This window comes from Homo sapiens, chromosome 10 (genome assembly GCF_000001405.40).
Source record: "Homo sapiens chromosome 10, GRCh38.p14 Primary Assembly".
In the NCBI taxonomy this organism is placed as follows: domain Eukaryota; kingdom Metazoa; phylum Chordata; class Mammalia; order Primates; family Hominidae; genus Homo; species Homo sapiens.
The window spans coordinates 65,464,729-65,486,845 of NC_000010.11; the positions used below are offsets into that span (position 1 = coordinate 65,464,729).

The 22,117-nt window shown below is 35.9% G+C and overlaps 1 long non-coding RNA gene across 1 annotated transcript; it reads right to left on the reverse strand.

Moving 5' to 3' along the window:
- Window positions 1–14,584: 14,584 nt before the first annotated feature.
- On the reverse strand, window positions 14,585–16,942 carry LOC105378337 (uncharacterized). The gene is made up of 3 exons (XR_946021.2): window positions 16,890–16,942; window positions 15,999–16,108; window positions 14,585–14,806 (listed from the first exon to the last, which is right to left on the reverse strand). It is a non-coding gene; the product is annotated as an uncharacterized LOC105378337 (long non-coding RNA).
- Between the last annotated feature and the right edge of the window lie 5,175 nt (window positions 16,943–22,117).

Here is a 22,117-nt window from a genome sequence, read left to right on the forward strand (position 1 = left end):
AAGGCATAAGAATGACACAGTGGACTTCGGGGATTCAAGGGGAAAGGATGGGAAGGTGGTGAGGGATAAAAGACAATAAACAGGGCACTGTGTACACTGCTTGGGTGATGGGTGCACCAAAATCTCACAAATCATCACTAAAGAACTTACTCATGTAATCAAACACCACCTGTTCCCCAATAACTTACAGAAATAAAAAAAATTAAGAAAATGATTAAGCAGGTTAGCATATTGCAAATTTAGTGAAGAAAGGAAATGGTATACTCTGTAAGTTGCCTTTTTTATGGCTTTTTATCCCCACATGCTATGACAGAATAAATTATTTTTATTATCTCCATAATATCACCTTAAAATATTCGACGATTTTTTTTTCTCTAAAACAAGAGCAACATAAAAGTCTGTCTTGCTTGTTCAAGAGTTTGAAAAGGCCGGGCGCGGTGGCTCACGCCTGTAATCCCAGCACTTTGGGAGGCCGAGACTGGTGGATCACGAGGTCAGGAGATTGAGACCATCCTGGCTAACACGGTGAAACCCCGTCTCTACTAAAAATACAAAAAATTAGCCGGGCGAGGTGGCGGGCGCCTGCAGTCCCAGCTACTCCAGAGGCTGAGGCAGGAGAATGGCGTGAACCCCGGGGGGCGGAGCCTGCAGTGAGCCGAGATCGCGCCACTGCACTCCAACCAGGGCGACAGCGAGACTCCGTCTCAAAAAAAAAAAAAAAAAAAAAAGAGTTTGAAAAGAAGAAACTGTTTATCGTGGCTAGTGTTCTTTCTATATGCATTCATTCACCAGCATTTTTTTTTCTTATATAGATCAACTTCTGAAGAACAAAGTTTTGTCTTGGTTTCATCTATTTTAATGATTCTATGCTTATGATACTAATTGAAATTGATATATAAGAGCATTCTTTGCTTTCTTCATATTTTAATTATAATTTCAAATTAATCTGATATAATTTTAATAAATAATACTTACAAATCAGAGCCCTTATAAGGTCATAAACATTTGCCATTCCATTAAGAGAGGTTTTAGATACTAAGATACAAAGAGAGTTATACTGTGCCTCTCTCATTTATGTGACTGGTTAGAAAAAAATTAATGAAGGTCAAGGGATGTGGTACTATCAGCATAGATTCTCTTGGTGATATGGTTTGGCTGTGTTCCCACCCAAATCTCATCTTGAATTGCAACTCCCACAATTCCCACGTGTCATGGGAGAAATCAGTGGAAGGTGATTGAATTATGGGGATGGGTCTTTCCTGTGCTGTTCTTATGATAGTGAATGAGCCTCACAAGATCTGATGGTTTTAAAAATGAGAGGTTTCCTGAACAAGCGCTCTTTCTCTTTGCCCACCACCATCCATGTAAGACATGACTTTCTCCTCTTTGCCTTCCAACATGATTGTGTGTCCTCCCCAGCCATTTGGAACTACAAGTCCTATTAAATCTCTTTTGTTTGTAAATTGCCCAGTCTCGGGTGTGTCTTTATCAGCAGCGTGAAAACAGACAAATACAGCAAATTGGTACCAGTAGAGTGGGGCGCTGCTGAAGAGATACCCAAAAATGTGGAAGCGACTTTGGAGCTGGGTAACAGGCAGAGGTTGGAACAGTTGGAGGGCTGAGAAGAACACAGAAAAATGTGGGAAGTTTGGAACTCTCTAGAGACTTGTTGAATGGCTTCGATCAATATGCTGATAATGATATTGACAATGAAATCCAGGCTGTGGTGGTCCCAGATGGAGAAGAGGGACTTGTTGGGAACTGGAGCAAATGTGAATCTTGTTATCTTTTAGCAAAGAGATTGGCAGCATTTTGCCCCTGCCCTAGAGATCTGTGGAACTTTGAACTTGAGATGATTTAGGGTATCTTGCAGAAGAAATTTCTAAGCAGCAAAGCATTCAAGAGGTGACTTGGGTGCTATTAAAGGCATTCAGTTTTATGAGGGAAGCAGAGTGTAAAAGTTTGAAAACTTTGCAGCCTGACGATGTGATAGAAAAGGAAATCCCATTATCTGAGGAGAAATCCAAGCCGGCTGCAGAAAATTGCATAAGCAACCAGGAGCCAAATGTTAAACCTCAAGACAATGAGGAAAATTTCTCCAGTGCACATCAGAGACTTTTGTGGCAGTACCTCCCACCACAGGCCTGGAAGTTTAGGAGGAAAAAGTGGATTTGTGGTCTGGGTCCAGGGTTCCCATGCTGTGTGCAGCCTAGGGACTTGATGCCCTGCTTCCCAATCACTCCAGCCATGACTGAAAGGGGCCAATGTAGAGCTTTGGCTGTAGCTTCAGAGGTTGCAATCCTCAAGCCTCAGCAACTTCCACGTGGTGTTGGGCCTGCCAGTGCTCAGAAGTCAAGAATTGGGGTTTGGGAACCTCTGCCTAGATTTCAGAGGATGTATAGAAATGCCTGGATGTCCAGGCAGATATTTGCTGCAGAGGCAGGGCTCTCATGGAGAAACTCTGCTAGGGCAGTGCAGAAGGGAAATGTGGGGTCGGAGCCCCCACACAAAGTCCCTCTTGGGGCACTGCCTAGTGGAGCTGTGAGAAGAGGGCCACCATCCTCCAGACCCCAGAATGGTAGATCAACCAACAGCTTGCACCATGTGCCTGAAAAAGCCGCAGACACTCAACAGCCTGTGAAAGTAGCCAGGAAGGAGGCTGTACCCTGAAAAGCCACAGGGGAGGAGCTGCCCAAGACCATGGGACCCCACCTCTTGCATCAGTGTGACCCAGATGCAAGAGATGAAGTCAAAGGAGATCATTTTGTAGGTTTAAGATTGGACTGCCTGCTGGATTTTGGACTTGCATTGGGTCTGTTACCCCTTTGTTTTGGCCAATTTCTTCCATTTGGAATGGCTATACCCCCATTGTCTCTAAGAAGTACAAAACTTGCTTTTGATTTTACAGGCTCATAGGAGGAAGGAACTTGCCTTCTCCCAAATAAGACTTCGAACTGTGGACTTTTGTGTTAATGCTGAAATAAGTTAAGACTTTGGGGAACTGTTGGGAAGGCATGATTGGTTTTGAAATATGAGGACTTGAGATTTGGGATGGGCCAGGGGCAAAATTATATGGTTTGGCCATGTCCCCACCCAAATCTCATCTTGAATTTTAACTCTCGCAATTTCCACATGTTGTGGGAGGAACCTGGTGGGAGGTGATTGAATTACGAAGGTGGATCTTTCCTGCAGTATTCTCATGATAGTGAGTGGATCTCACTAGATCTGATAGTTTTAAAAATGGGAGTTTTCCTGTACTAGCTCTCTCTCTCTTTGCCCGCTGCCATCCACGTAAGATGTGACTTTCTCCTCTTTGCCTTCTGACATGATTGGGAATCCTCCCCAGCCATATGGAACTGTAAGTCCAATTAAACATCTTTCTTTTGTAAATTGCCCAGTCTCAGGTATCTGTTTATCAGCAGCATGAACATGGACTAATACACCTGGATAAATTATAGCATTACATCTGCACCTGTGATATCCTGAGGCCAGAGTGGGATGATAAAAGAAGCACTGGGGTCACACATGATGCTTAAAGGCATGATTTTCAGAGTTAAGTAAGTACTGGTATTTTTGCTCTGTACTTTTAGGAAGGTATTTAGCCCCTTATCTACAAATTGAAAACAATAATAAATTCTCATCTGTAATAAGGAGACAATAAGATAGTGGTTCTTCAAAAGGTTTTGGTAAGGATAAAGCTAAATGAGGTAGTGTCTATACAGGGTAAGAACTGTCTAGCATCCAACTGTCATTTAATAAATAGTACCTAGGGCCGGGCACGGTGGCTCACGCCTGTAATCCCAGCACTTTGGGAGGCCGAGGCTGGTGGGTCACGAGGTCAGGAGACCAAGACCATCCTGGCTAACATGGTGAAACCCAGTCTCTGCTAAAAATACAAAAAATTAGCTAAGCATGGTGGCAGGCACCTGTAGTCCCAGCTGCTAGGGAGGCGGAGGCAGGAGAATGGCGTGAACCCGGAAGGCAGAGCTTGCAGTGAGCAGAGATCGCGCCACTACACTCCAGCCTGGGTGACAGAGCAAGACTCTGTCTCAAAAAAACAAAAAATAAAATAAAAAATAAAATAGTGCCTATATTCACAAGGTGTGGGAAGAGGGGTAGAAAGAGAAGTTAAAATGGGGATAAAGAACTAGCTTTGGGCCTGTAATCCCAGCACTTTGGGAGGCCGAGGCGGGCGGATCACTAGATCAGGAGATCGAGACCATCCTGGCTAACACAGTGAAAACCCGTCTCAACTAAAAATACAAAAAAAAAAAAGAAAGAAAGAAAAAATTAGCTGGGCGTGGTGGCAGGCTCCTGTAGTCCCAGCCACTCGGGAGGCTGAGGTAGGAGAATGGCGTGAGCCCGGGAGGCGGAGCTTGCAGTGAGCCGAGATTGTGCCACTGCACTCCAGCCTACTGCGCAAAGTGAGACTCCGTCTCAAAAAAAAAAAAAAAAAAAAAAAAAAAAACTAGCTTGGGAACGCATTTGCAATATCATCTTAGGCAAAGTGCTTGAATTCTCTAAATCTTCATTTTCACACCTGTAAAATAAAGATGATTATATCTAACTGTATTAATTTTCTTTTACTGTATAACCAATTGCCACAAGTTTGCAGCTTTACCATTAAACCATTTCTATGAAATGGTTTATTATCTTTCAGTTTTTTTAGGTGAGAAATCTAGACGTAACTAAACTGCATCCTTTCCACAGTGTCTTACCAGGCTGCAGTAAAGGTGTCGATTGGGCTGCATTCTCCTCTGGAGGCTTCACTGGGGACGAATCTGCTGCCAGATTTATTCAGGTTGTTGGAAGAATTCATTTCCTTATGGCTACATGACAGAAGGGCTGGCTTCTTACTGGCTGTTGAATGGAGGCTGCAGAAAGAGGCTGCAGAACCCATCCACAATTTCTTGCTACCTGGCCCTCTCCATACATTAGTTCAAGGAGATAAGGAGAAACTCTCACCAGTCTTCTGAGTCTTCTATAACATAATGTAATCATGGGAGTGATAATCCATCATATTTGCCTTTGAATAACAGCCAATCAAGAGAATGGCACCCCATCACCTTTGTCATATTCTATCGGCTAGATATCATGGTTTCTCCTACACTGAACAGTAGGGGATTTCACAAGAATTTGACTCATCCGTTGTCATCTTAAAGTGTGTCTGCCATATTATGTCAGGATTTTGGTGCATATACAATGATCAAAATGTGTTTATGTATGTAATTATGAGCAGTCTTTCTAAACTTCAAAGTGTTATGCAAATCTAAGAAGGTATTAGCATTTGATAAACTTTTCTACACATGATTTAGCTTAGTAATGCTGAAGGAAAACCCAAAAGGATCTTCAATCATCAAAGAACTCTTCTGATAAAATGGACAGATAGGTAAGTAGGAGAAGGGAAGACAGAGAGAAAAAGAGATTCTATAACTAATGCAGAAAAACACAAGCATCTATTTTGGAAAAATTTACCAAATACTCTAGGTGATTAAGATTCTAAGTGGGTACAAAAAAGAGGATCCAAAATCTACTCAAGTATCTCACACAACTTAATTAACTGACTTATATGATTTTTTTTTCTAGTAAATTCTAATGAATTTAAAATGTTGGGGCTCAGCAAGGTGGCTCATGCACTTTGGGAGGTAGAGGCAGGCGGATTGCCTGAGGTCAGGAGTTCGAGGCCAGCCTGGCCAATATGGCGAAACCCCGTCTCTACTAAAAATACAAAAAAATTAGCTGGGCATGGTGGTGGGTGCCTGTAATCCAAGATACTCGAGAGGCTTAGGCAGGAGAATTGCTTGAACCGGGAGGCAGAGGTTGCAGTGAGCCAAGATGAGATTGTGCCACTGCACTCCAGCCTGGGTGATAGAGCAAGCAAGACTCTGTCTCAATAAATAAAATAAAATAAAATAAAATAAAATAAAATAAAATAAAATAAAATGTTGGAATGCTTAATGTTAAAGGGTTTGAACTTAGTTTTATTAATATAGAGGGAATAACATTAAAATTATAGAAATGGAACATTAACTGATGCTTGCATTACATTAATGTTTTGGAAAAATTGCTTTTCATGTTGGTTACCACATACATTACTTGATTGTGATGATATAATGAAAAAAATTCTGCATATGACATTGATTTGATTCTCATTCCTTCAATAAAAGTATATAAAAATCTCATTAAAAGACTGACTAAAACTTGGCTTTTCCTTCATATCATTGATAAAGTTTATGAAAGAATATCCAGAAGCTTTTTAAACATTATTTAGTTTTACAATAAATATTAATCCTAGTTGATACAGACTTTTTTGTGTAAATACTAAAGATCTCCCATTAGGCTATTAGCATTGAAATACTAGTTAGAAGTTAACACAAAAATATTTTGCATTCCTGAATTCCTGAGATCAACCACTATGAGCCTTCATTGTCAAAGGAGAGTGTAAATAGAGACCAAATCTCTAGAGACAATTGTGGACATGGTCTCTTATTCACAAAGGGTCATTCATGATGTTTTCAACCCATGGAACCCCTATTCAAGGTGATTGAGGGTAATGGTGACACATATGAGTCTTTTAAATTATTTTGTATGATGTAAAATTTTATTTTATTCCTAATATGATTCAACTGAAATTGTTTTGGGATTTTTCTCCATATCATGGGAACAGAAGCAGAAAAATTTAAGCTTCTCAAGGAAAACAATCATTTTATGATCTTTAATAAAGTGCATCATATTTAATAGAATTAAAATTTATTAAGTTATTGATAAAATTGATTTTTTTCCATAGATTAACTCACTTTCTTCCTTCCAACAATTATCAGATACATATACAGATAAGGAAGCTAAGAGGTAGGAATTTGAATAATTTATCCAAATCATACGGATTTTTCTTGGCAAAGTCAGTATTTAAACCCAAGCTCTCTGACTAGAGGGCATTTGTGCTTATCAAACCTTCTTAACTGCCTTTACAACTCATGTTTTTACTTCTGCTATGAATTCATAATCTGCTTATCAAATTTAATGTTAACGTGATAATATACTGACAGAATCTCAGAGAAATTGGATTATTCAGAGAAATTGGATTACTCCTAATTATTTTGTTGGGTGGCAGCAATTTTGAAGAGGAAGAACAAGGATATATTATGAGGCTTTGAGAACTGCTAAAATGGCTAATGAGCTTAATATTTTGTTAAAATCACAGATACATAGAGAACATGTTTTTGTGCTAAGCTGGAATTAAGGTAAAATTCAGGAAACTGGGGGATAAGTTAGAAAATTTATTCCAATTTTTTCTTTAATCTTCAAAAATGCATGCGTTGTTTTTAACAACGAGATCTAGGAATTCTACTTTACTCTGTGTGTGTGTGTGTGTGTGTGTGCATGTGTGTGTGTGTGTGTATCTGGGTACATGCTTGCATTGGTCAGTGTGTTTTCATGTGCAGTTTAATAATATCAGCAGAGAGTCAGGAGCTAGGAGACAAGGATTCCTTTTATTGATTCCACAAGCCACTTATGGATCATGCTACATTAAATAAGCTAGTCTGAAAAAAAGTCAGCAAACAAACAAAAAACTTACTTGATATGATATCTTAATGTGGGTCAGTTTGTTATATGTTAGAGCCAGTTTCTATACCAGTGTAGTTGACTAATTATCAGATCTTCACATATTTTGGTGCTAAAACAAAGAGGAAGAAATTTTGGAAATTGTGGAGGGTTATCTTGCTGTGAGAATAACAAAAGCCTATTGTTGATCATCATCCTCTTTCCCCTAAGCCTTATATAAGATCACTGTTTAGTTTTTTAAATTATATTTTTGTAATATTGTGCTATTCTAAATGATGTTTTTCAAAGTGGAATGTGTAAAATAGTCCAGTGTGGTGCAAGAAGAAAATATCAAAACACCTATTTTTCTTATTATTTTAACTAAATAAGAAAAAACTACATTAATACATACAATGAAATCAACTGAATTCATGCATCAGATGATCACAAGTCCAAGCACATAAAGCTCAAAGGGATAAAAGAGAATTTCCAATGGTTGAGCAATAGTGCCTTTATTCTCTTTTATTCCTTCAATAAAAATATATCAAAATCTCATTAAAAGGCTGACTAAAACTTGGCTTTTCCTCCATACCCTTGATAAAGTTTATGAAAGGATATCCTGAAGTTTTTTAAACTTTGATGTAGTTTAGTAATAATATTAATCCTAGTTACCACAGATTTTTTCATGTAAATACTAAAAGTCTCCCACTAAGCTATTGAGCAATATATGGTTTAAAAATATTCTCTATAAGGAGAGAGTAAATCTAAAATAGTATTAATAAAGCAAGCTCAAGAATGAAACAAGAAGGTGGTAAGCTGGTAACTTTGATTCCTACTCTGCTATGAGCACTTTGTCAGCACATAACATTACATACAATAAAAAAACACAAGAAATCACGTCTTGACATATAAATTTACATTCTCATTATGTTTTTCAGAGGGTATAATGCATTAGTAGAATAGTACACATATCATTTATAAAAATACTATTTAAATAAATAAATACATTTTTGTTTGCTACTTTGTCTTTGAGGTCCTTCCTTCTCCCTCATCCAGAGAGTATTTACATAATCTTAATATTTGAAGACGTTTCTTCTGAATAACCTGTATTTCTCTTATTTCTATGCATGATATATTTTCAAATAGTTCAATTATATACAACCATACAATATAAAATATACATTATTTATTAAGCCCGTAAATGCTTTTAAGAATTGTTTGAATTTTTTAATATATTTTGAAGATTTTGTTTTGTAATTATATATTGTTTTTGTTCCCCTTTTCTGCACATTCACATTATATTTAGTTTTTTATGCCATAAAGGGTGATTACCATCCTTCCCCCTAGAGGCTCTCAGGGCCAAGCCATTGGCCAATGCCCTCACTAAATTCAACTTATATTTTTTCTCCCTTCTTCCTCCAAATATTCCAGTACCATTGAACACTTTTCATGCCTCCTTCTTTCTTTACTTAAATTATTGTCTCTAAATTATCTGGTATAATGCTCTCTGGTTTTCTGTTACAAGGCTCTGCAGTTTTATTTCTGCTTCCCTGACTTCTCATTGCCGTCTTTCTAAGATCATCCTTTTCTACCTTGACATTAAATTTTGAAATTCATTTGAGTTTGGCACTGTACTTTCTGTGGTTCTCATACTACCTGCTCTAAACCTTCTCCTTAGATAATCTAACTCAGGTTTTAGAGTTCATTTACTACCAAGAAAAATAAGAAAATTTTATCTACAGCACTGACCGCTTCTCTGAACTCACAATCTATATATCTATATCTATAGCCTTTCTGCCATATCCTGCTTAATGTCTCAAAGGCTCTTGAAATTTCATTTTTAAATGCAAACCCATGATCTTCACTGAAGTCGACCCTGAAAAACTCTCCAGCAAACCCTTTCCACAGCTATGAACTTGGGAATCAACCTGAACACTTCCTAATTCCTCACTCCCATGTGATTTATTTCTACGTTATATATCTTGATATCTATCCAATGTCGTCTCTCTCTATCTCTACTGTTTGAATCCAAGCCACCATCCCTCTCTTACCTGGTCAACGGCAATTGCACTGATGCAGTCTGGCATTGATGCAGTCTGGACTTCCCCATTCTAAAGTCATCACCATAGCCAGAGGCATATTCTCAAATTACAAATCTAATATGTCAGTGCCCAGTAATGGCTTCCCACTGTTCAAGCTAAAATCTGTGAGGTTCTAAATCAGCTTTGTCCCCACCTATATCTCAAGACACCTCCTTTCATGTTTTGTGTCATCCCATTTACTCTGCCTTCACTGAATTTCTGTCAGTTGCTTGTACTTTTCACACTCCCTTCCTCAGAATCTATTATACCTCTGGTTACCTTTGTTTGCTTATTAGCTTGTTTTCGTGCTTCTGATATCAAACTGGGATTCATCTACAGAGGAATTCTTCTTAGACTTCTGCAACTAGGTCATTTTTACCATTGCAAGCACACATGGCTCTTCTTCATGGGACTTATCAGAATTGCAATTTTACATTGGTCTGATTATTGTTAAACTCTTGTTTTTTACTATATCTTTATAGCAACCCTCTGTGACTATTGCTGTTTATTTTCTTAAGAAAAATGTTCAAAAATGGAGTTGTTGAGGCAAGGGAACTTACACTGTATTACAGTTCTATATAGATGTGTTCCAATTACTCTTCAGAAAGAAATATCAAATTGGATTCCAGCAGTGGCATATGAATTGTATTCTTTGGTACAATAGGAATTTTAAATTCTTTCTTCTCATTATTACAATGATGATGATTGTAAATGCCAATGGAAAAGTAGTTTGGAATAAATTATATACCAGCCACCATTGATGTTAAAATGTCACATTGGTGGGAAGGAGGGCTTTTACAATATTGATTAATAATGTTTTTACTAATATCCCTTCCTCAAAAAAAAAGTCTTTGTTTCTGTGCTGTACATGGATAAGTAACTGGTGTGACTTGAGATGGCAGTGGTTGAGAACTACCAGACTGGATAATAGTTTGGTTTAAAATGAATAATATAATCTAAATAAATTTTTTTAAAAAGAAACACTGCAGTTGAACTGATTTTATAAACATATTTAAATTATAAAGTATCTCATATACCAGTTTTTTTCTGTAAATACAAGTGTATAATTCTGAATCCACAATCCAAACTGCTTTATATAGGCAATAACTTTAATAAAGCCATCATGTCATTTTATTATTTTTGCCATCTAATATACACCTAAATTAATGAGAAAATAAAAGGCCAGCAACTTCCATCACTGCTAAAGAAAAAAAGTGGGATAAACTGTCTATAACTCCTTAGCTCCAAGGGGAATGCCTTAAAAAGATTTTTATGAGTCTTTTTACCCTGAAAGATAGCAAAGTTAGAAAGATACTGATTTATGAAATTACATGTGTCAATTCAAGTAAGATTGGTTACTGAGTACAAAAGAAACATTTGAATCACTATCCCAGACTGTTTTTCTTCTGCTGATTTATATTTATATTTCAATAATATTTATATTCAAGAGGAAGAAGCTTATAAACTGTCACTCTTATTTCTCAATAGCCTGATGGTTTCAGTTAAATTAATTCCTAGCTAACTCACTCTAAAAGCATTAAGCATGATTATTTGCTGCTATTTGGCAAAATAGAATTTTGTTTTCCTTATGCTGATTTTAATAAAACCTAAATGTTAAGGACATAAGGCACTCACATGGTGCTTGGCATAATGGAATACGTCAAACTGTCCCTGGTGATGATGAGAGATTTTGTACAATTTGAACCATAATGGGATGACAAGATATATATGTTTACTTGGGTATGAAAAGCCAGAGAAAAAAGTGCACCAAATGTGAAAAGCAATAAAAGAAATCACTTTTTTATGAAACAGTATATAAAATTTGTTACCAATGATAGATTTATAGTGAACTAATTTGTGGAATAAATGAAGTGTAGAGATTGAAATGTGTTTGAAGTACTAAAACTTACCTTGCATTACCCCTTGTGATTACTGACAATTCTAGGTGCTTACAGAAGATTAAAAACCCCTTCAATATGAAAGTATTACTGTTTTGAGGTTTCACTGTGTTCTGGAATCTTTATCCATGCATTTGACATTTTCGTTTGGTATGCACTAATAACTTTCATAATGAAGAGACTGCTTCCCTGAAACATACATTTTTCTCAGAAAAAAATTTCTACTTAAAGGAAGTAAAATACTAAATTTGCAGAGGTATATTCTAGAGTTTTATAAAGTGAGGGCTAAAGTTTTTTTTAAAAGACACAAAGGAAGAGTCAATATGTTACAATTAATAAATATGTCTCTGGGGTTTTTTGACTCAGCTATTGAGAAAATCATTTTCAGGTCATTTTAAAGGTATTTGGGGAATATTAGAAGTTAGGCTCTGCTAGGAAGAAAGTTCTGATGAAGAAACCTGGCAGTGGAACTGCAAACCAGTGACATGGATCCCATCATGAGAGACCTGGTGAGGAAGTAACACAGACTCTTGCAAGGTCAAAAATCTTTTGAGACTTTTTTTTTTAATATTTCTATTTTTTAACTTTGAGACGGAGTCTAGCTCTGTCGCCCGGGCTGGAGAGCAGTGGCGCGATCTCGGCTCACTGCAACTTCTGCCTCCTGGGTTCAAGCAATTCTCCTGCCTCAGCCTCCCAAGTAGCTGGGGCTACAGGCGTGCGCCACTACGCTTAGCTAATTTTTTTTTATTTTTAGTAGAGATGGGGTTTCACCATGTTGGTTGGCCAGGATGGTCTCTATCTCTTGACCTCATGATCCGCCTGCCTAGGCCTCCCAAAGTGCTGGGATTACAGGCATGAGCCACCGTGCCGGGCCGATACTTTATTTTATGTACTTTCTCCTACATTGTGATTGTTTCCCCAGCTTCTGGAGATCTGGGATTGTTTGTGGGGAACAGATTTTAGACTTTCTGACCTGTTCCACCTTTCCTTGAATCACCCTCTAGCCTAAACTTCCAATAGGATAACTACTAGCCCACATAGCCACTGAGCACTTAAAATGTGGCTAGTCAGGTTTAGCTGTGTCATGGTGTGAAATATACACAGGATTATACAGGCTCCGTGCAACACAAGAATGCACAACAACTCACAAATAAATTTTACATGTATTACAAATTGAATGCTTTGAAGACATGTAGTTTATTAAAATTAATTTTACTTGCTTTTTTAAAAAAATGTAGCCTCAACCCCGTCTCTACTAAAAATACAAAAAATTAGCCAGGCGTAGTGGCGTGCGCCTGTAGTCCCAGCAGCTGGGGAGGCTGAGGCAGGAGAATGGCGTGAACCCGGGAGGTGGAGCTTGCAGTGAGCCGAGATTGCGCCACTGCACTCCCGCCTGGGCGGTAGAGCGAGACTCCGTCTCAAAAAAAAAAAAAAAAAAAAAAATTGTAGCCCCTAGAATATTTAAAATTACCTGTAAGGCTCACATTCTGTTTCTATGGACAAATACTATGGTTAACAGTAAGTACGGCAGGGTTCTCCTCTTCTGCCAACAAAAATCTCCCCAGCTAACAGTTGAAATTCCACTGGGTTTGGAATAGTGAGAGGGAAAGAAAAACAGTTATAATATAGAAGGCTTGAAGTCCTAATGTCTAATTAAAGAAAATGCTGTAATGTGAATAATCATTTCAGAAGGAATATTTTAAAGTCAATCACCCATTTAAAAGGATAATTAATGAGTTTTTTTGGTGTTTTGGCTCAAAGAGGGCCAGCTGAAGTGAAAAAAAAAAGTAGGTTATGAAGATAACAGTATTTGGGGTGGATTTTGAAAAATAAATTGCATTCCAGTGTGGGTTGGCAGAGGAAGATCGTAGGCCAAGAAGATTGCGGAGGCAGAAGACAATTTGTATTACTTTATAAATTTGGACATTGCATACCTTCAATTAGCCACAGCAACCAATAGTTATGCAGGTGGGGATTCTTCCTATGGAGCTGCAGATGCAGCCATATCTTCCATGACACTTTTTATTCTTCTGATTTAAAGCCCTAATTCAAAAGTTTATGGAAGCTGTTCACAAATGTCATAATGTTAATTACTGAGAATTTTGAGCTAGCCAACTAGATAAGCTTGATTATTTGACCTAGTAACATATTTATCTGATAGTAACATAGTTATCTTTCTAGTAACTTAACCAAATCCAGGCATGTCTTTCTATTTTTGCAATGAGAAGTTTGATGGGGTGTAATACACGATGGTAGCAATAATTCATATTTCTTGATTGTGTCTCTAATTGTATTGGTTAATACATAAATCAATAAATGAACTATTCTGAAAATTTAATACATGCAAAGAACTGGACACTAGGAACACATTATTAATGTGGAGGAGGTAAATGTACTTGTAAAAAGTTTAACGGACACATCAACTCACCTAGAAGATACAAAATTTGTAACTACTGGCAAGCAAAGATGAGGCTTAGGCAATTTAAAGCTGTTTTCTGGAGAAACAGACAAGAAAAGGATGTTTTGGCATTAAGTATTTCACAGATAGTTGCGGTTAAATGGGGGCTCCAAACTGGGTTTTGAGAAAGGATAAAGTTTAAATTTATAGAAGATGTTTGCGAATTGGGAGGAAAATAATTAACACTGTGTACCTAAGGCATTAAACTGTATTTATATCAGTGGGACCCCAGTTAAACTAGATTGGAAATTGTGTGCAAGTGAGGAGAAGAAATTAAGGTTGAAACCGTATATAGGTACCTGACTGTGGAGGTTTTTGAAAGCAAGTATATACTCAGTTATTAATGGGCTCTTTAAGATTTTTTTCTAGTAAGCTGGACAAAAGTATTATTTTACAAAAAATATTTTGGAAGCAGTGTGAGAGATAAAATGGATAGACATTAAACGTGAGATGTGGAGATCAGTATTATTCATTCAAACTACAGTTGACAAGAGAGTGAATTAGATTGTTGGAAGTGGGAACTGAAAAGAGCAGATGTGGGCTTTAGTATTTTTACTAGAAATGTTTCTCTTTATCATTTACCCCAACCTGTGAAAAGTTCATAACTAGGTCCACCTCATGCTCAAACTTTAGATTTAACACTGAGGTTGCCAAATAGTCAGATATTATAAAGTTCTTTTATACTACAGGTATTAGGAATTATGACAGCAACCACAGTTGAGATTTTCTAGAGTTAATCATATCCAGACCACAATTTGCTCCAGCCCAGGTCTCTGGCCCCTGCGATTTCCATCATATGTGCATCCATGTCCAATTAGTACTTCTTCCTTTGTTAGAAAACAAGAAAATCACTTTTTAATGGGAATTTTGTCTACTCTGAGTAATGGTTTTTGCATGAATGCTAACAATATGATATACTTTCTTGATAGATTAGGGAAAGATAAAAGTTATTGAGCCACTGATTTCTACCAACAGTAAGCTCGGAATTTATTAATTTATTCCTTGAATGCACCAGTGCAGCCTCTAAGCTCAGTTTCAGGGTAACTTTTTATTAGCCTTTGTTCTTTCATGCTGGCAGTTTCTCCACATCTCAGTGTTTTCAGTTCAAGAGCTGTGACACCCACGAGTCAGATTGGAAACTGGGGAATTAGGTTGGGTCCTGTTACTCATCGAAATATTATTAAAATTTTGCTGCACAGAAAAAGGATAGGAAAGAAGGAAAAAAAGGAAAAAATTGGCTGGGCATGGTGGCTCACACCTGTAATTCCAGCACTTTGGGAGGCTGAGGTGGGGTGGATGACCTGAGGTCAGGAGTTCGAGACCAGCCTGAGCAACATGGCAAAACCCCATCGCTACTAAAAATACAAAAATTAGCCGAGCGTGGTGGCACATGCCTGTATTCACAGCTACTAGGGATGCTGAGGCAAGAGAATCGCAACACTGCGAGACCCTGTCTGAAAAACAAGAGGGGAGGTGGGGTGGGAAAGAAAGAACAAAAGTAAGAAGGGGGAAAAGAGGGAAGTAGGAATCTGGTATAACTTCAAGTCAGGATTTTTATTTGATTAAAAATTAAAAATAACCCACATACAAAATCCTCTATAAAGAGAATTTGCAATGGAAGAGGGTTGGTGGTTCTTAGAATAACTCATTAGCATTTCCTAAAGTGAATGTTTTTATCAAAAAGGAAAGGTTTTGAATTATGATTCCTACTTCCTTTGGAAGTTTCCTGATGTCTGAGATGTATGAGACTTCCAAAAGCCTTCATAAGTCAGGGGATGCATGTATTCCCATAACATGTTCAACTTTAGGAGTAATTTCTTCTGCATAAATCACATGGAAATTATCCACATGGGTTTCAAACCTTGCAGGACACTCTGATTTCTGAAAAGACTTTATACACATATGTTGACAAGAGACAACCCAAGTTTCCAAAACTTAAACAAGAAAAAATCTAAAATTGTCAAGGGCAGCAGAGGTCCTCAGCTATTATTCTCTTTCCAAAGAATATGTACAACTTACGTGATGCAATGTGGAATTGAAAATTAGGTTGTGTTCTTATTTCATAAAGAGTGATGAAATCTCACTAGGTGTTGAATATACTTTCCAGAATAATGTAGAAATGTCCATTCCTATAAAAAGAGAAAGTTACAATTATTTCTGAAGCACAACAAAACATTTTCCTTTATGTTAAACATACGGAACTTTTGTTATGGTAAACATATAAACTTTTATTTTCTTTCGTATCTCTATTTTAGTGAGATACTTAAAAGTATACTTATTGTACTAAAAATATAGTTTAATGATTCAATTTCTAAGTTACATTTTTATTTCAATAATGCAAATCTCTTTTCAGGAAATTCTGAATATGTTGCAGGACATTTGAATTCTCACTTAAATAACTGATATTTTAATTATTATGAATCATATTTCCAAAGGATGGGTGTTTCTTTCGTTGACATTTTTATATTTTGTTCTTAAAATATCAAATAAGTAAAATTATATAAATAAAATTGATAAGATAAATTTTTATAAACTATATACCCAAGGGATATTTACTTTATGGTTCAATGTGAATTGTATTTCTAAATATGACTGACTATTCAACATTTAAAATTGCACTAAATTATTAAAATGGGGATGATCTTATTTTAGAGAAAGAAGAATGAGTACATTTGTAATTATTATTGGAGAAATAAATTAATAGAGAGATAAATTGAATGGTTTTATATGTTTTCTAATCCAAGATAATACATACTGATTCTTTTAACAAAAATATTTATTAAACATAAAATGATAACAGACAACGCAAAATAGATACTGTAGTTTGGGGAAGGAAAGGCTTACAATAACCAAAAATACATGAGAATGTAGCCTGGAATGGACCCATTGGCTTCCTTCTTAGGTACTCACAGGCAGACACCATCTTGCCGCATTTACAAGACTTGCCAGAAATCAAGGTTCTCTGCATTCCTTAAAGGTGGGTTCCTAGTAACTGAGCTTCTGAAGCTGATGAAAAACATCAGAATGACAATTTGTTAATTTATAACTTAGAGTCTCTCTGCAATAGAGATAATGTATTGTCTCCCTGTAGGCAAATTAGCACAGAAAATCAAATTTTATTCAGAATGTTATTTGATGGGTATGCGATTGAAACAGAATATTGTTGTTTGATTCAAACATTTAATGCTATTAGACATGTATTCCAAAATAAACCACCTGCCAAATGTCCTAAATTATGAATTGCTTGGCAAGAACTTGCTCTCATATGTAGAATATTCAGATTTTCTGTGCAAATTATCATTTTCGTGATTGTCTTTTTACCTGTTTTGTTGGATGAAATAAAGACTTTCTGAATGACACTTTATTTTTGAAAGGAGTTTAATATTTTCACATTATAGTCTATAGTGTGTTAGGTATATCTGTGTTTGAATATCTAGGGGAGAATTTATTTCCAATTTGCAAGAAAAAAATGTCAATGTGGTACCCATATTCTAGCGATAATATAAAACGCAAGAAATTCACGTGGACAGTGGACAGGAGAATGAGAAAACAAATATAAAGTAAACAAATTTTGATTCAAGAATTCCATAATACTTGTGAATATATATTTGTTAAATTTTTAAAAAACTATATTTTCCACATGAATTACAATTTTTAAATATTATTTAGAAAATAAGAGAAACACTACAAAATAGAATAGGAAACATTTTAAATTTAAATATCAACATCACTGCTGCTATTATTCTTAACCTTCCCTAGCTTTCCTCCTTACCTATCTTTCTTCTAAATCCATGCCTCCAAACAGTATGTTGGGTCAATTTCCCTCTCTATCTCTCTTTAGAATTTTTGTCTATATTCTTTTCTTTCAAAACCACAAGGCCCATCTCTCCCATCACTTCATCATCCCATCACTCATTTCTAAAAATAAGTGTTTTGTTCAAATATATTAATGGCTATTTTGCTTTTTGTAATAACACTCCCTCCCTTTTTATAAATTCATTATAAAAACTAACTTTTTCTCCCCTTGAATGAATAAAAGAATATATCATAAAACTTTATGTCTTAAATTAACAAATTCAGCGAACAATGGAAATGAAGCAGCTTCCAGACTAAACTCAAGCAAATGTTTCTACGTGGACTTTTTTTCTAACACGAACAGCTATTTTGTTAGACTGTAACTCAGGAGTCTCACTCTTCCCTTCCCTCCTTGCTTCCTTCTTTCCTTTCTTCCTTCCTTCCCCTTCCTCTTTTTTCTTTCTTTTTATTTTCTTTCTCTTTCTCATTTCTTTCTTTCTTTTTCTTATTTCTTTTTCTTTCTTTCTTTTCCTTCTTTCTTTCTCTTTCTTCATTCTTTCTTTTTCTTCTTTCTCTTTCTTTCTCTTTCTTTTTCTTTCTTTCTATTTCTCTCTCTCTCTCTCCCTCCCTCCCTTCCTTCCTCCCTCTCTTCCTTCCTTTCTTCCTCCTTTCCCGCCTTCTTTTCTTCCTTTATTCTTTCCTACCTTCCTTCACTTCTTTCTACAATGGACCACCAAAAATATGTAAAAATCACTGGATGATTTTCTCATAGGAGTTTGTGGCTGTGTTAATGTTATTCATAGTGTAATTTTTCTGTCTTTTTTTCAAATTATGTAATTTTGAATAAATAATTGGCTTATTTCTAAGTTTATTGAATCTTTTCGCCCTTATTTACATGTAAAGCTAAGCAAAATCTGTGTGTGTTTTTTGTTTGTTTATTCTGATTTTTTAATCTTAGGAGACCTGTTATCAAAAACATTGCGTTTCAGTTAGGTCTAGCTATTATAGTTTCTTCTGTTTTATTTCTCCGGTTATGTTTCTTACCTGTTCATTAGTTATAACATATTTTAAGTTTTTAAACACATTTAGAATAGCTGCTTTAAAGTCTTCGCCTGTTCATTTTAATATATGAGTCAGCCCTTTGTCGGTTTATTTTGACCACATTTTCTCCTAATTACTAGTACCATTTTCCTACTTCTTTACATGCCCTGCTTTATTTGATTATACACTAGACATTTTTAATACTGTGTACTTGCATGTCTAGATTTTTTTTATATGGTGCTAACTTTTTTGTTCTGACAGGTAGTTAATTCACTAGATTCATTTGATATTTGTTTTTATAATTTATTAGGACCTATTTATATAACCCCTTATTTTAGTGGTAGAATTCTCCTATTTCTTTTGCTTTTCTTTCTTTCTTTATTTTCTTGAGATGGAGTCTCACTCTGTCACCCAGGCTGGAGTGCAGTGACATGATCTCGGCCCACTGCAACTTCTGTCTCCTGGGTTCAAGTGATTCTCTTGTCTCAGCCTTCTGAGTAGCTGAGATTACAGGCAACTGCCACCACCCCCGGCTAATCTTCGTATTTTTTGTAGAGACGGGGTTTCACCATGTTGGCCAGGCTGGTCTCAAACTCCTGACCTCAAGTGATCTGCCCACCTCAGCCTCCCAAAGTGCTGGGATTACAGGTATGAGACACTGTGCCTATTCTTCTATTTCTAAGACCTATCTGTGTAGGCCATTAACTGAGTACCTGGGATATTCTCTTTCTTTTACATATTTAGATGTCCCATGTCTCTCATCACTGTCAAACCTCTAGAATTTTCATTTATCTCATGACATCTAGAAGCTGTTGCCTGCTAAGCCCTCGTGCATCTTGTTCTGCACAAGTACAATTTAGTAACTGGCCAAAGACTAAAATAATCTCATGCAATTTCTGAAACTCCTTATCCATATATCTCTCTTCTCTCTGGTAGTCTGTTCCACAAACTCCACTCACTTCAACAGCCCTGATGCTGATCTCTGTTAACTCCACTTTCGTGTTATTACTACACACTACTTGTGCTTTACTTTCTCCATTGAGATCTTGACAGTGTCTCTAGGTGAAAACCCAGGAAAAATGCAGAGTTCATTTCATCATTTTCCCATATATCTACTCTTACAATCCTCAGCTATCTGTTGAACATTTGTATTAGTCTTCTGTTGCTAACAACTGGCCATAATCTTAACTGCTGAAACCAATGCTCATTTATTATTTCATTGTTCTAGAAGTCAGAATTCTATTGGGTTCTTCTGGGTTCTATGCTTAGCAGCTCATTAGGCTAAAACAAAGGTGTCAGCTGCCTTAGGCTCTTTGTTGGGAGCCTCTGGGTTAGAATCTCCTTCCAGACTCATTCACCTTATTGGCAGAGTTCAGTTCCATGTACTTTTAGAGCTAAGGTCTCCATTTCATTGCTGTCTCTTAGTCAGGGGCCATTCTCAGTTCTAGATATTGTCATAATCTTTAGCTTGCAGCCCTCTTTCACCACATCCAAAGTCAGTAAGGCAAGTTGAGTTCTTCTCATGCTTCAAACTCTTCGACTTCCTGCTCTCCCTTGTCTATCCTGTTGTGTATCTTTGACTACAAATAAATATAATATTTTTTCTTTTAAGTTTTCTTGTGGTTAAATTCAGACCACTCAAACAATACGGAATATTCTCCTCCTAAGGTCTATAACTATAATTATATCTGCAAATTTTCCATTGACATATAAGGAAACATATTCACAGGTTCCAGGTATTATGGTGTGGATATCTGTGGGAATCATTCTGCCTACCATGTTTTTATTACGTTTTCATGGTGAAGCAACTACTCTGGTACCATCAGTGTTTAAAGAAAAATTTTCTACTTTATAAGACAAGTTACTCTAGATGGTTTCTAAAAAAATTTTTCTGATGTTGGCATCTGTATATATGTAAATATATTCGAATATATATAAGAATGTGTCTAAATTATTATATGTATCATAATACTTTTATCATTATATACATATAATACTTTAAAGAAAGTATAGTATTCCTGGAGAAATTTTGCTTCCTCCATATTACAAGAACATATATACATACCCTGAACAGTAAATATCAAGGCATGTTTCAGAGCAAACAAATTATTTTATTTCTGGTTTGTCTACAATAAACAAGTAATGCGGTAGTACAAGAACATACATAGGCAATATTTCTGCTCAGGAAATATATATATATAAACACACACACAAACACAATTAATTAAGAGACTAGAAAAATACATAAAACAATGTAACCCATTATACTCTGCTAGAAAAATTTTGATGCTACAACAATTACATAAAAGAAAACTACAACTACAACTACATAAAAGAAAACATATTTGCTTACAAATTAAGAAGCAAAAGTTGTTTTTAAATATTGATACTCTAAAAGATTAATACATTCTGAACAAGTAGTGCTTACCTCAAGGTTATAATTAGTCTACATTTAGAAATTTATTGTTATAAACTACTAAATTAAAATAATAATAGAAGAAAAAATAATTACAATACCTGTCTGTCAAAAACTATGCACTAACATTTAACAGCCATTAATTATATCTTTCCAAAGTAGAAATATATGTAGTTTTATTTAATTTGATATATAACCTGTCAGAAACCTCCAAAAGGCATTGAACATAAGATAAAAGCCAAAGAGGCATTTTTGCTAAAATAAGAAACAAGACAAGAATTTTCAACATCACTACTATTTCTTGACATTATACAAAATAACTAAAATTTATAAACAAAATTATGTGTCACTTTTTTGTTACAAATTTACTTACACAGAGGTTCCAAAAATTTAAAACATAAATTATTACAGTCATTGTTCAGTATCCATGGGGAATTGGTTCCAAGACCTCTCGGTGATACCAAAGTCTTTGGATTCCCAAGTCCCTTTCATAAAATTCCATAGAATTTGCATATAACCTATGCACCTCCTTCCTCACATTTTAAATCAACTTTAGATTACTTATAATAGCTAATACAATGTAAATGCTAGGTAAATAGTTGTTATATTGTTCAGGGAATAATGAAAAGGGAAAAAAGTCTGTACATTTTCAGTAGAGACAAACTTTTATTTTGTGAATGTTTTTGATCTGTGGTTGGTTGAAACCATGGATGCAGAACCTATGGAAATGGAGGGCCAACTGTACATCTAATAATGCACTCCAGGAAAATGGCAAATAAAAGAACAAATTACAAAAGCAATAGCTTTCTTATATTGCAGAAATAAAAATTAAAAACTTAAGAATATAAAACATTCAATCACAATTAGCAAGAAATAAAGTACATTA